Raw genomic sequence first — 15,808 nt, 5'->3', positions numbered from 1 at the left:
TTTTGTCCCTCTCCTCCTGCCCTAGCCTGTTCCTAACGTTTTTGGGGTCTGAGAAAAGTATAAGGAAAGGTCTAGATTCCATGTATTTACATATTTGAAAGTTACAAACTGAGCTAAAAAACTGTTAAAGAGAGTGCGTTCTATCCTCTGACTTTGATATCTATGTCCTCATAACCCCCTGGAAAACCAGGTTCCAACCTGGGTTCGTGCTGGCTCCTTAGTCCCTTTTATGTCTGTTAGGGGTGGCAGAGGGGTGAGCTTGGATGCACAGCAAGCACTGGGGGCTGGCTTGTGAGAAGAGGCCGTAGAGCCAGAGTTAGAAGGTAGATTACTGATTATCTTTAGGTGTCTGAGCCTTGTCATGGAGGGGACTTTCTACAGAGAAGTTTATGGTGAAGAGTAGAACTCAGGGAGTAGGTAGGAAAATAAAAGCTCATTTTCCTGATATTTGCAACTTTGCAAAATATAGTCTTTGATCCTTTAATCAAGGCCCTTAATTAATGGGTTAGTTGAGCTTGACTGAAATTTTTAATATTTTTAAACTTAGAGAATCTAGAATATGTCAGATGTTTATCTGATTTTTTAATATTAGCAAATCAGATTATTTGATTGGCAGTCTATATATGTTATTAGTAGGTTTTCAGTAAAGCATAGCATCACTTTTCTAAATGGTGACTGCTGGAACACTGGGCTGGAAGTACTCTTTCTTGTTAACAAGGGTCATAAACTCAGAACCTTTGTCTTCCATTCAGCTTTTATTCATTCAACAAACATTCATGTGAAGTTTGCTGTAAGCCAGGCATTGAGCTTATCCCTGGGGAGAGTGACAAGCTCAATGAGTACAACTCGGTCCCTTCAAGGGGCAAATAGGGGGAAATATTAACAGAACTTCCTAGAGTCTCCTCCATCAGTGAACACAGCAGATGAATGCCTGGTTGGAGGGTGTGGTGTAGAACAGCCATAGAAGGAAGTTCTTGCTTTGCAGGCACGCTCTAGATATCCCAAGTTCTTTATTCTGCTTGCCACCTCTATGTGAAAAAGAAGGAACAGTTGTTAAAAATACTGAAGCTTTCAGTGTTGTTATAGACAAATCAACTGTGTCTTTGTAAATAGAGGGAAGGTAGTAGATTACATAACTGAAAATGGCAGAAAATGTACTGTCAGGCATTGAGGTTGGGGCAAAGGGAGAACATGGTGCCAGTCTTCGGTAGGCAGGGACTGTTGGGCTGTCAGAGGGCATAGACTTGAGTAGCCTATTTTTTTGCCTGTGAGACATTAAGCTCTCTGGAGGCTGAGAGCAACTCAGACACAGTAGGCAGTTGGGCCTCGCTCAGCTCTTTGCATGTAGATGGTGCTGAGTCAGCAGCAGCTTGGAGATGCTTCCATCAAGAACCTCAGTAGACTTAAGTGGGGTGCTAAGCTTGATTTTTCTGAAATAAATACATGATTTAGATTATAAAAGCATTGATATTCTGTAATATATGAATCTGAAAATGACAAGAGGATTTGTATCAGTGATATCTGAGACACATTTCAGGAAACAGCTTTAACAAAGAAAAAAAGTCTTCGTCTTTGCAGATTAACTAATACTATTTGCTGTCTCTTTTCCTTGAGAGCCCGAGTCCCTTTAGAATTGACAATAAGAGTGGATTTATATATACAAATCAAATCCAGTCATAACTGTCTTAAATTCTTTTGGTAAATTGCCAGCAACTAATCATATAAAATAGTGCTCAAAATAAATGCCTAGTTTGAAATTTGAAAGTTTACAAATTTATCCAGAGTCTGATTGTCTTATTACAGTTTGACCAGAGTTGCTCTATTTTATAAAATTAACAGTGCTCTAGATTTATAGAATGCTTTTCGCCCCTCTAAAATGATCAAAGTTGTCAGACTAGCATCACTGGAAGTTGTGAGTGGACCCTTGGTGAGGGGTGAAGCCAGGCAGGCGTATGTGGTGTGGTAGTGTGACTCATTGTTCATTTGTCCCCACCTAGGCTACCCAAGCCAGGACTTTGACTGGGCTGACTACCTCAAACAGTGTGGTGCTGAAGCTGCTCCCCAGAGGTGCTTCCCTCCGGTGAGGACCCCCACGGCCTCATGGCCACTATGGCAGGGCTGCAGGGACTGCTGTGCTTCCCTTGCTTTCCATGTTATTGCTCTGAAGATAATCATCTCACTTAATCCAGATGAGCACAGTGGTGATTGTAATCACATGGTCTAAAGGAAAATACATTTACTGCAGAAGTGAATCAGTTAGTTTGCTAATTAAGTTAGTTTTATAAGTTTATTGGTTTTATTTTTTCTTAGCTGAAATCGTGAATTTGAAATTTTATGATTATTTTTCATGGTTCAATAATAGGAAAAACTGTTGAAATATTAAGTGGAGAAAAATTGTTAAGCTTATTTAAATTCTTCTATCCAAATAATACATGCATGTGGTTTAAAGAGCCATGTAGCAGTAAAAGGCTTAGAAGGTAAAATAGCAGTCCCTGCCCTACCCCGTTTCACAGTCTCCCTTCCCAGAAATAACTACTTCCTGTTCTTCTCACTGTAATTCTAGTTATTTGTATTTCTTCATTTTCAAAATAAAAACCTTCTATCTTTTGAGTCATTTATTTTAGACATGTCACTTGGTTCTAATTTAAAAACTTTGACTTTATTAAAACAAATTAAATTCACCCTGTCTTATGGTGCTGAGTCTGTTGGTTCTAAATTATGATAAATGAGCATTTAATTATTTTTTATTACCTTTCCTCTCTGTCTTACCACATTCTTCTTCCTTTAGAGTTATATTACAATTTTTGGTTAAATACAAAATGAGTTTTTACATTATGATATGCATTCAGATATTACAGCTGAGCACTGCAGTTTTGTTTTGTTTTGTTTTGAGACAGAGTCTTGCTCTGTCACCCAGGCTGGAGTGCAGTGGCACGATCTCAGCTCACTATAGCCTCCGCCTCCCGGGTTCAAGAGATTCTCCTGCCTCGGCCTCCCAAGTAGCTGGGATTACAGGCGCCCACCAGCACACTCGCCTAATTTTCATTTTTATAGTAGAGATGAGGTTTCACCATGTTGGCCAGGCTGGTCTCGAACTCCTGACCTCAAGTGATCTGCCCACCTCAGCCTCCCAAAGTGCTGGGATTACAGGTATGAGCCACTGCACCTGGCACTGCAGTATTTTATGATTGTTTCTTTTTAAAAATTTTTATCCTCAATAATAATTGCCTTGTTTTTAATTTACTTAATTTTATCTATTGCTGCTGCTGTCCACACTTCCCAGTAGTCTCTCATTATCAAAAGCAGTCACATCAAGAAATCTGTCATTCCTAACACTTTTGTTAAAGAGACATCCCTCTTAGCAACCTCCACTCTCTGTCTGGATGGGTTGCTCTTTAAAGGTTTGCCATGTAGTTTTTGTGGGTTTTGTTGTTGTTGTTGTTGTTGTTGTTTGTTTTTTGTTCTTCTTAGACAGAATCTTGCTCTTGTCGCCCAGGCTGGAGTGTAGTGGTACGATCTCAGCTCACTGCAACCTCCGCCTCCCGGGTTCAATAGATTGTCCTGCCTCACCCTCCTGAGTAGCTGGAATTATAGGCGCCCGCCACCATGCCTGGCTAATTTTTGTATTTTTAGCAGAGACTGGGTTTCACCATGTTGGCCAGGCTGGTCTCAAACTCCTGACCTCAGATGATCTTCCCGCCTCAGCCTCCCGTAGTGCTGGGATTACAAGTGTGAGCCACTGTGCCGGCCTTGCCATGTAGTTTTAATCATGGAAATGCCCTTGTCACCCAGGGAATTGCCCACTCCCCTTTTGTATGATTTGGGGTCCCTTGTTTTGTAGAGATCTCATGGCCTCCTCTTTCTTGGTTTGCTTCCTTGTTTTGATGGATCCCCATCTCTCAGTACCTTCCTGTAACAGGGTACAAGGGAAGTAAATTTTTTTTGACACTGTATATTTGAAAATGTCTTCACTCTACTGACTTGCTTCATAGTTTGGCTCAATGTGGAAGTTATTTTGCTTGAGAATTCGGAAAACATTGCTCAGTTGTTTTCTAACTTCTAGTGTTACTATCAAGAAGTTAAAAGCTATAAAGCTATTTTTATTTTTGTTCTTTTGTAGATGACCTGCTTTTCCCCCGACCCTTTCTGGAAGGTATAGAACCACTTTTCACAGTGATGAACCTTGATGCGAGCCTGTTTTCATCCGCTGTGCTAGGTTCTCAGTGGGCACTTTCTTTCTGGACCTTCATGCCTTTCTGTGTTGGGAAATTTTTTTTAAATCACTTCTTTGATTTCCTTCCTTCCGTTTTGTCTCTTTTCTCTTTCTGGAAGTTCTTTTATTTGGTTGTGGCCCTCTGGATCAAACCTCTGCTTTTTAAATCTTTTTATCCTGTTTTATGTTTCTTAGTCGTTTTGCTTTATTTTCTGGAAGATTTCCTAAACTTTGTCTTTCGGCCTTCCTTTTGAGTTTTTAATTTTTGACATCATGTTTTTTATTTTCTGGAACTCTGAATAGTTCGTTCGTTTGTTCTTTCTTTCTTTTTTTTTTTTTGATGGAGCTTTGCTCTTGTTGCCCAGGCTGGAGTGCAATGGCACGATCCTGGCTCACTGCAACCTCCACCTCCCGGGTTCAAGAGATTCTCCAGCCTCCTTAGCAGCTGGGATTATAGGGCCCGCCACCACACCCAGCTAATTTTTTGTATTTTTAGTAGGGACAGGGTTTCACTATGTTGGCCAGGCTTCTGTTGAATTCCTGACCTCAGGCGATCCACCCGCCTCAGCCTCCCAAAGTGCTGGGATTACAGGTACTTCTTTGTTTTTAATATCATACTATTCTTGCTCTAAGGATGCAATAGTTTTTCTTATCTCTCAGAGGCTGTTAATTAATCCACCCCCCACACACACACCTTTTGGGAAGTTTTCTTCTTGCATAATCACTGCTTTTTCCAAGTTGCTTGTCTGTTTTGGTCCTAACTTTCATCTTCTTAGGTGTCTGGTAATTCTTGGTTGTTGCTATATTTAAGAATGGGTGACTGAAAGGAAGAGCTGATTGAAAGCTCTGAGCAGGTAGATGGAGCTTGTCAACCTTGAACTTTCCTATAGGGTGGAATCTGATTGGCCATTTGTTGGGGAAACCTGAATCCATATCATTATGTGTTTCTTCCTGGGCTTATCATATCACCATAAGAAGTATCTTCTAGTCCCCTGCCTGGTGGGTAGAGGCGGAGGGCTGGGCCTCTCAGCAGTCCATAGGCTAACCGCTGTTTTGGTCACGACATACATGCCCTCAGCAGTTCCTTGTGTCCTCTTACCTAGGCATCTTCTCTTTTACCCTGTCCAGAGGATAAATCTCACCTTCTGTAGGGGAGAGGAAGGAATGGTTTCCCTAATGCATGGAGTCGAGGAGCCAATGGCATAACCTAAATGTTTCTTAAATGTTTTCAACAAATCCTCCTTGTTTTGACTGTCTCCTCTACCTCCAGTTGCCTAGTACCTGGCAGTTCTTCCAGTTCTTAGCTTTCTTTACTGCCAGCTTAGAGTCACCTTTAACTTAGTTTCCAGACCCTGTTCTAAATTTTAGCTTATAAAATGTTGTTTCCTTTCCTGTTATATCCATCTTAAGATAGATGTTAAGTTTTTGTCTTCAAAATAGAAGCAAACCAAAAACAACTTTAGTTTTTAAGTTAGATGTCAGAAGAGAGAACACTCAAACGCAGATGTTCAGTTGTCCATTTTGACACGGATGCTGGATATTTTTCTGTTTTAAATGACCCTTTCCCACTGTTGATAAACATTCTTCATCCTAACTGCCTCTTATGATACACATGCAAGTATGAACCAGGCAGTTTGTGGTATGATAGGGTGCTTTATATGAGGGGAAGTGAGTCAACAGTGTTGATAGCCACTTGGTTCAGGACACAGAACCTTAGAGACTATTTCATTGATACCTTGTAATAGCACAGCCAGATGGGAGTTCTCAACCTCATCTGACAGGTGAAGAAACTGAGGCAAAAAGAGGTTATACAGCTTGAGCAAGGTCATACAAGTAGCAATAATGCAGGAATATCTGACATCAAAGAGTGTACTTCCTGTATACTTCCTATAACACCAGGAAAGGCAGACATTTTCCTTTTGCTTCATTAAAAAGCAAAACAATGCAAAATAAATGTTATCTTTAAACCTAGGGATTAAGTACTACTTGAAAAAGGTTTTCTAGCTGAGCACGTGAGTTAATACTGTGTTAATCCAGTAAATTGATTTGATTCATTCATTTTCTAGTTAATTTCTGAACATGAATTTAAGGAGAACATGAAGCTCGAGGCGGTGAACCCCATTCTCCCTGAAGAAGTGTGTGTTGCTACCATCACTGCAGTGAGAGGCTCCTACCTGTGGCTCCAGCTGGAGGGTGAGTGCCAGCACTCTAGAAGCCTTCCTGTGGCCACTCTCCTTTGAGCTTCCTGTTTACTCCTGTAATGTTGCCTGTTAAACTTAATGGATTAGTTAAATAGGGATCTTGTTCAGAGACTTTTGTAATGCAAGACTCTAAGCGAAATATTTATTTTCCTGTCCTTGGCTTTCAAATTCCAAATTTTAGGAAATGAATATGAATAAAAATTCTTTACTACAGAGTCCCCTATTTTCTGGAAGGGGAAAACATAAGTCAAATAGCATATATTTTGATGTGACCAAGTTATATGAGCATGGACATTAACACCTAGCTTATTGAAGAGATAATATTTTGGTTGCTGCAGCCCAATAGAACCAAAAAGTATATAGAGTAGAAATGGTAAACTGTGCTAAAAGTAATATTCAATAATTGGACAGGTTTGTGGATGCAAGGCGCTGCGTGAGTACTCAGTGCTACGGTTACCATATATGCCCTGAGCAGCTTTTTTATCCTGCTGCCAAATAGTCAGACTTTGAGAAGGTACCTACTGTTTCTGATTTGTAGAATTGGCATTTAATGCGGATGTCAAGGATAATATCGAATGTAGACTTTTATGCAATCCTTGTTCAGCAGCTTGCCAAATCACTTCCTGATTTGAATTCACTGTTCTTCTTTTCTGGCTTATTCCTGAAGTACCAGAACTGATGTTCTCATTGAGTAAAATTGTCACCTTTGCCATTTGGTTTCCATTTGTCTGAAATGACTGTGATATTTATTAACCATCTGAATGATACCAGTGGTAGTTCCAGTTTCTTATTTGCTGTTCCCTAGCTTAAGTGTCACCCTGTATATTCTCTACCCATTTTGGTCCTGATACAGTTTTACATGGAAGACAGTTTTTTTTCATAATGTTTATCATACATGAAAATGTATGACTTCTGTGTCAAGAGACTTGTGTCTGCATTATTATAAGAGTAGAACATTATCTAGAAAATAGTTTATGAAGAAGGTTATTTAATGGTCTAAAAAAAGGTTTGTTTGTTTGTTTGTTTGTTTGTTTAAATCTAAACAGGTTCTAAGAAGCCTATACCTGAATGTATTGTGAGTGTGGAATCCATGGATATATTTCCTTTGGGCTGGTGTGAAACCAACGGCCACCCCCTCAGCACTCCTCGCCGAGCACGAGGTATCTGTCTATTTCTGGGTTAGAGGATTGATTGTTAAATAATCTTCTGTGTGGCTGCTGCCAATTAAAACTAATCTGGACATTTCAGAGAAAAAAAATGACATTCTGGTTCTCTGTTCCTGCATAGGAAATTATTTATTGTAACAAATATTTAATACCTTACAGTTTCTGTGGGTCAGGAATTTGGGTGCAACTTAGGTGGGTCGTCTGGATCTGAGTCTCTCACAGGCTGCACTCAAAGTGTCAGCCAGGGCTCCAGTCATCTCAAGGCTCAACGTGGGGAGGATCTGCTCCCAGCTTTACACAGATTATTATTGGCAAGTGTCTTAGTGCATTCTAGCTGCTGTAACAAAATACCATACACTGGGAAGTTTATAAATAACAGAAATTTATCTCTCACAGTTCTGGAGACTGGGAAGCCCAAGATCCAGGCGTTGGCAGATTCAGGTTCTGGTGAGGGTGCATTTCCTGGTCCATAGTTGGCACCTTCTCGTTGTGTCCTCACATGGTAGAAGGGACTACTAGCTCTGTGGATCTCTTTTATAAGAGTACTAATCTGCATCATGAAGGTTCTGCCCTTGTGACATGATCACCTTCCAAAGGCCCCATCTTCTCATACCAGCACATTGGTGGATAAGTTTCAATGTGAATTTTGGAGAGTACAAACATTCAGACCATAGCAGCAAGAATGCATCTTCTTGTGGGCTCTTGGACTGAGGGCCTGAGCTCCTTGCTGGGTGTTGGCTGGAGCCTTCCTTTAGTTCGTTGCCATGTGGGCCTCTCCGTAAGGCAGCTCACAACATGACAACTGGCTTCTGTCAGAGTGAGGAAGCAAGAGAGCAAGAGAGGTTGAGGAAGATGGAAGCCAGAGTCTTTCTGCAACCTAACCTCGAAAGTGGCAACCCAGTTTCCCCCTTTTTAAACAGCTTTCTGGTGTTACAATTGACGTACCAGCTATCACCATAGTCAGATTGAGAACATTTTCATCATTTCAGAAAGAAACCCTATACTCATTAGCAATCAACCCCCACTCCAGCATCCACGAATCTACTTTCTGTCTCCATAGGTTTGCCTGTTCTAGACATTTCACATAAATGGGATCATGGTCTTGTGTGACTGGCTTCTTTCATTTAGTGTACTGCTCTCAGAGTTCATCCATGTTGTAGTGTGTGTCCGTTCTTTATTCCTTTATATAGCTGAATAATATTCCATGCTATAAATCTGACACATTTTGTTTATCTATTTAACAGTTGATGGACATTTGAATTGTTTCCATTTTTTGACTATTAAGAATAAGTTTTATAGTTTTCTCCTATAAAACTTTCTCTAAGAGTTTTATAGTTTTAACCCTTACATTTATGTTTAGATCTTTGATCCCCTTTGGGTTAAGTTTTATATATGATATGAGGCAGGGGTCCCCAACCCGTGGGACCACACAGCAGGAGGTGAGTGGCGGGCGAGTGAGCATTAGTGCCTGAGCTCCACCTCCTGTCAGATCGGGGCGGCATTAGATTCTCATAGGAGCAAGAATCTTATTGTGAACTGTCTCGTGAGGGATCTAGGTTGCACGATCTAATGCCTGATGATCTGAGGTAGAACAGTTTCATCCTGAAATGACCCCCCACCCCCTGGTCCATGGAAAAATTGTCTTCCATGAAGCCAGTCCCTGGTGCCAAAAAGGTTGGGGACCACTGATCTGAGGTAAGGGTCCAACTTTATTCATTGAGCTTTCCCAACACTTACTGACCCAGGGAGCCTTGAAAATATTATTTTTGCTCTTTGTATAAAGATCCCTACTAAGAAAATGTGCCTCAGTCTAGATATTCAGACATAAGCATTAATTTATAGTACTATATATATGTGTATATATATATATACACACACACATATATACACACACACTCACACAGAACCAGGTTTTAAATATGCTAATGTAACCTTAATACACATATGAATTTTCCTTTGTCTTTTTATTTTTCTTGGCATTTATATATTTTTTTCTTTCTACAGTATATAAACAGAGGAAAATTGCAGTGGTTCAGCCAGAAAAACAGTAAGTAACGTAATAATATGAACAGTTTACAAGTTAGAATATCTAGAAAAATAACTATTTCAGAGGGTATATTTCCTCATTTTCTCAGATGGAAGCATAATTTTTTAATTCAACATTTGATCATTTGTATACTTCTCTTTGCAGTATATGCATTTTCTAAAATGGCATTATATACAAAAGGGTAAAATGCATTCTCAAGATGGTGTCTAAATTGAGTTTTCTTTGGCTTTTAGAGCCTTAAGATAGTTGAATAAAAGAAAGAAAATAAGAGTGCCCATGCTGGTATTCATTAAGGAAGAGCAAAAATTGTAAATTAGGGTATGATTTGTCACAGTGGAAAAAAATAAAGCTGGGGTAGAAGACAGCTCTAAAAGAAAAGGCACATTCAAAGGAGTGGCTTTGTGCCCATCAAGAAATTCTTCGTTTGTAACATACCTGCACACACAGCTTTTGAGAAACAGTTAATTAGTAGTGCCTTCAAACCTTAAAAGTACAAATGTTTCTGTGTGTATATGTGTGTTTTAAAACATTGGGTGTTGAATTCTCTATTAATCTGCTGGGGCTGCCATACAAAATACCACAGGCTCGGTGGCTTTAAACCAGCGGTCCCCAACGTTTTTGGCACCAGGGACCGGTTTCGTGGAAGACAGTTTTTCTACAGACTGGGGTGGGGAATGGTTTTGGGATGAAACTGTTCCACCTCAGATCATCAGGCATTAGATTATCCTAAGGGGCATGCAATCTAGATCCCTCACATGCACAGTTCACAATGGGGTTCACACTCCTGTGAGAATCTAATGCTGCTGCTGATGTGACAGGAGGCCGAGCTCAGGCCGTAATGCTCCCTTGCCTGCTGTGCGGCCCCATTCCTAACAGGCCATAGACGGGTACTGGTCCGTGGCCCTGGGGTTGGGGACCCCTGCTTTAAACCACAGAAATTTATTTTCTTACATTCTGGAGGCTGGAAAATCCAAGATCAAGGTGCTGGTAGATTGCTTCCTAGTGAGGGCATTCTCCCTGGCTAGCAGATGGCTGTCTTCTGGCTGTGTCCTTGCATGGTGGAAAAATCTTTCTCTCCCCGGCACCCCCCGACCCCTCTCTTCCTGTAAGGCTATCAATGCTATTGGATTATAGCCTACCCTTATGACCTCATTTAATCTTAATTACTTCCCCAAGGCCCTATCTTCGAATACAGTTACACTGAGCACTAGGGCTTCAACATATGAATTTGAGTAGGAGGAAACAATTCTGTATATAGCAAATTCTATAACTACCTAAACCTTTGTAACTATGTGGGTAATAAAACTAACAACAGAAGTGGAGAGAAAGGCCATAGACATTTATACCAAGTAGAGAAGTGAGGTAACAATGAAAAAAAAGACTGACCTTGGATTTTTCCTTGACTTAGTTGCCAAAACTGATCCAAAGCTTTAGTTAGGATGCATTCTAAAAGATAAATTAGCCTTTTTTCAGTGATTGCTACATACAGAATAAGCCTCTGTTTTTTTTTAAATAACATAATTTGTCTTTAATTTGAAAACTGATGGACGAAGAAAACGAACCCTATATAAAGTTTCTGTTCTTTGACTGTTGAAAAATGAGTAGTTTATTTGTGATTTAAGCATCTCACAAGAAATTTTGTAATTTTTTTGCCCAGTGAATGAAGAGAAAGTTTGAACATGTAGTATCACAATGCTATATACAGACTGTCCATTGGCTCATTATGCCCTATATATAGTTTTAAAAACAATTGTTCTTTTTTGTTGTTGTAGTTTTTTGTTGTTGTTGTTGTTGTTGTTGTTGTTTGGTTTTTTTGACACAGAGTCCTGCTTTGTTGCCTAGGCTGGAGTGCAGTGGCACGATCTCGGCTCACTGCAAGCTCTGCCTCCTGGGTTCACGCCATTCTCCTCCCTCAGCCTCCTTAGTAGCTGGGACTACAGGTGCCTGCCACCATGCCCAGCTAATTTTTTGTATTTTTAGTAGAGACGGGGTTTCACAGTGTTAGCCAGGATGGTCTCAATCTCCTGACCTTGTGACCCGCCCACGTCAGCCTCCCAAAGTGCTGGGATTACGCGTGAGCCACCGCATCCAGCCTTGTTCTTTTAAAAAAAAAAAAAAAAAAAAAAAGTATCATCAAGGGAGTACCTTCTGTTACAGATTTTGCGAACATGCCACATTTGCTTTCTTCTTAGATTTGAAGGAAACTAAGCCTCACACTTTACTGATCTTAAGAATTATCTCACTATTTTACTGTGTTTTCTTGACCCAGAGTACCATCCTCGAGGACTGTCCACGAGGGCCTGAGGAATCAGGAGCTGAACTCCACAGAGTCAGGTATAAGCACATGTCATCTTAAGGAAAAGAAGACTTAGTTTCTTTTAATGGACTATATCTGAAAATAACTTAAAACAGTACATTTGATGTATAGTATGTGTCTTCATAGAGGGGTCTCTTAATTGTGACTTTAGAGTTATAACTGTCTAAGATGTGTTTAGTTTAATAATCATCTCTAGGCTGATAGTTCCGTCCATTTCTAATAATTGTAGCTATTCTTTACTGATCAACCGTTGTGTGCCAACGGCTCAGAAGGCCAATGTTACCATCCTTGACTTTAGCTAAAGAACCTGAAGTTTTCCAGGCAGTGTTCTTTCTTAAGCTAGATGGTTGAGAGGTAGAAGTTTATTCTTTTTAAAACCCTTTTTTATGATATGCATACTTTGTATATAAATTTCACAGTTTATGTGAAAAAAATAAAGCAATGGAAAAAGAAATTGTCCCAGAGGCAATTAATGCCTGATAAATGAGAGAAAAATCCTTGCTGGAGGTTCAAGCCTTTTGTCCAGGGTCCTCTCTTGAACTATTCTTAACTTCCACGTGCTTGTTGTGTAATGTTTAGCATCCTGGCTGTGTGTATTCTAGCACAGATTGCGCATTTGGGTGATATTTAGTAAATGCCTAGAAGAGAAATCGAAGCTCAGAGAGATCACACAGCTTATGAGTAGAAAGACCAGAAATGAAACTGAAGTCTTTCACAAATTAGAAACCCGTACTTCCGTCTCTTGTACCTACTGCCTTTTCATTACATCATTTGTACATAGAGGGTTAGGACTGTGTAACTCCTTGCTTTTGATGCTTTCCTGGCCATTCGAATGCCTACTGAAACCACAGAATTTAAGACATTAATATCTTCTGCACAACCTCAGCCAAGGCCTTTTGGTTTGGGTTTTGTCATAGGTCAGGTTCCCTGGGAAACAGAGTCTGAGACTCTGACATATGCATTCAGGAGTTTCATTGGGGAGTATTTTTGGGAACAGCTCCTTAGAAGGAGTAAAGGAAGTAGGATTGGGCAGAGAGATAAGTTGAACCATGATGCAGTTGCAACAGAAGTTTCTTCTAGTTCCACTGGGAGCCCTGAAGCTGATCTAACCACTCAGAGTTGATCCTAATTCAGGTGTGGTGGCCACACTTTACTGACCAGTTATTGGAAGTAAGCCACTGCTCCCTCCCCACCTCACAAGGGGCAAGGTGGCCCTCTCCTGCTGAGAGCAGTACCCAGTTCAGGGTGATTCCAGAATAGACATAAAACTGGGAACTGTAAGCTGCCAACATACCCAGCAGCAGGGGTATGAGTGCCTTAATTCTGAAAAGAGGCATTTGGGTTGCAGGGTTCAACTGGAAATGTGAGCACCAGCATACTGGCCACTATGATAGACCATCGTTTTTTTGTTTTGTTTTGTTTTGAGACAGGGTCTCGCTGTGTCATCCAGGCTGGAGTGCAGTGCAGTGATATCAGCTCACTGCAACCTCCACCTCCTGGGCTCAAGCTGTCCTCCTACATCAGCCTCCCGAGTAGCTGGGACTACAGGCATATGCCACCACATGTGGCTGATTTTTTTGTTTTTGTTTTTGTTTTTGTTTTTTGTAGAGATGGGGCTTCACTGTGTTACCCAGGCTGGTCTCAAACTGGACTCAAGCGATGTGCTCCCCCGTTGGCCTCCCAAATTGCTGGGATTACGGGCATGAGCCACAACACCTGGCTGTGACTATTCTTAATTAAAGAGAAAACATTATGAACTGCAGGATCCTATCAACAATGGGCAGTGTGCGCATATCTTTCCTTAACATTGGATTAACAGGCATATCTATTAGAAGAGCTTCTCTGTGCTTTATAGCAGTATTTTAGTGTCTTTGAATTTTTTACATTCAACAGCTGACATGCCTACCACTATGAGGGGATTTTTTAAAAACATTAAATTGAAGGACAGTATTGATACAGACAAATAGTTGAAGAAAAGGGTCTCCAGACCCAGTTATACCCCACAGTACAAAAAAAACTTAGAGATGTGGTCACAGCATACTTTTAGCCCTCTGAGAAATCTCAGAGATGGGATTGCTCTCACAACATCAAAGGCTGCCAACATATTAGTTTGGTGGTTTTTAGGAGACAAACTAATTCTCAATAATATTCAACAATTTCTATAAATATTCCAGAATAGATGATTGAAAGTTGGTTTTTGAAGACCTGGAAAAGAAATCATTGATCATCCAGAATCCTCATGTGTTCTTAAAATACACCCTCCACTTTCTTTATTAATAGAAGATAGGGTTCTTCTATCAATTTTGCAGTAACCTAGGAACTAATCAGCATGTTAATTCAGGACCCTCTTTGATTTCAGCAGAGTGATAAGCTCTGTAAGTTACTTAAGAGCATTCTCAGACAACATGTTAAGCTTCAAAATAAGTAATTCCAAACTTTATATTAATATAATGGTACATGTGCTTCGTTTTTCTTCCCTGGCAGTTCAGCTTTGGAAACGTGGGGTAGAGAATGACTGTTTTGAATATTTGTTTTTCTTCATTTCCCAGTTATGATTAATGGAAAATATTGCTGTCCAAAGATATACTTCAACCACCGTTGCTTCTCAGGGCCATATCTTAACAAAGGAAGAATTGCTGAGCTGCCTCAATGTGTAGGACCTGGGAACTGTGTTCTGGTCCTTAGAGAGGTAAGGTTCTGGCCTAGAGCAAAATAACTTGGAAATTTCACAGCATTCTCCTATGGTCATTTCTACAGGGAGCCACATGCCATAGATGTGACAGTTCTAGGTTTTATCAAAAGTTACTAACTTTTCTCATGTTTTGGACAGTGAAGAGGGTATGTAATTATTTCTCCTCCCTAGGAAACATTCACGTAAACAACTCTTCACACAGCAGGTTCACCTCTGTCAGGGTAGAAAGGTCTTCTGTCAGAGACCAGAAGAGAACTATACAAAAGTGAACTGTGAGGTTACTCTATGACTGAAAGGCCGTGGCTATGTGGCATTAACCTAGCGACCGTGATAAAGCTACACATCTGCTGGGCTTTCTGTTCTTCCCAGCCAGTGTGATATGCTGCAAGTAACAGATAAGAGACCTTTCAGCCCTCAGGGTGGCAAGTCAGGATCTGGGGAAGCCAGAGCGTCTGGACCAGACTCCTCCAGCCACAAGAAGGCTCAGCTGTCTACACAGTGGTCCAAACAAATATAATTTTCTGTGTGTACCGTGGCTGGGAAAGCATTTGGAAGCATGTTCTGGAGCAATTTGAAAATCATGGTACCTGTTTTTTTCCTGACCGTAACATTTAAAAAATGTTGAAAAGGATCTGGTTACTCTCTTATCTGCACCTTTGGGTGGCTGTAATATCTCTGATACTATTATTTTGTTAACATTTGTTAATTCATATGACTAGAATTTAACCTCCTAAATAATCTTAACATTTTAAGGAAGAGATGACAAGATTCTAATGGTCTGCTTTTCTCCTTCCCAATCTGTGTTTCTGCTTTAAAACTGAGCTCAGGTCCTCACTTTACTTATCAATGCAGCCTACAAACCCAGCCGTGTCCTTCGGGAGCTCCAGCTGGACAAAGACTCTGTGTGGCACGGATGTGGGGAAGTCCTAAAAGCCAAGTGAGTGGACTACTTGTTTTTACTCTTTACTTTTACTTGTCTTTAAAAAGTCACAGAATCGGCGTGGCACAGTGGCTCACACCTGTAATCCCAGCACTTTGGGAGGCCGAGGCGGGCGGATCACAAGGTCAGGAGTTCAAGACCAGCCTGGTCAACATGATGAAACCCTGTCTCTACTAAAAATACAAAAATTAGCCAGACACGGTGCACACGCCTGTAATCCCAGCTACTTGGG

At 40.6% G+C, this 15,808-nt stretch overlaps 1 protein-coding gene across 1 annotated transcript in view; it reads left to right on the top strand.

The window, feature by feature from the left end:
* The window catches only part of SFMBT1 (Scm like with four mbt domains 1), a 142,502-nt gene that overhangs the window by 117,963 nt on the left and 8,731 nt on the right, over window positions 1–15,808 (top strand). Inside the window, exons 10-16 of the mRNA NM_016329.4 lie at window positions 1,998–2,080; window positions 6,280–6,406; window positions 7,461–7,574; window positions 9,585–9,627; window positions 11,897–11,961; window positions 14,494–14,633; window positions 15,464–15,573. Of these exons, the coding sequence (NP_057413.2) occupies window positions 1,998–2,080; window positions 6,280–6,406; window positions 7,461–7,574; window positions 9,585–9,627; window positions 11,897–11,961; window positions 14,494–14,633; window positions 15,464–15,573 (682 nt within the window). The remainder of the gene's footprint in view (window positions 1–1,997; window positions 2,081–6,279; window positions 6,407–7,460; window positions 7,575–9,584; window positions 9,628–11,896; window positions 11,962–14,493; window positions 14,634–15,463; window positions 15,574–15,808) is intronic.

Source organism: Homo sapiens, chromosome 3 (assembly GCF_000001405.40).
Source record: "Homo sapiens chromosome 3, GRCh38.p14 Primary Assembly".
NCBI classification, from domain to species: Eukaryota; Metazoa; Chordata; class Mammalia; order Primates; family Hominidae; genus Homo; species Homo sapiens.
Note: the sequence above shows the minus strand (reverse complement) of the source record. Positions and strands in the feature narration are given on the sequence as shown.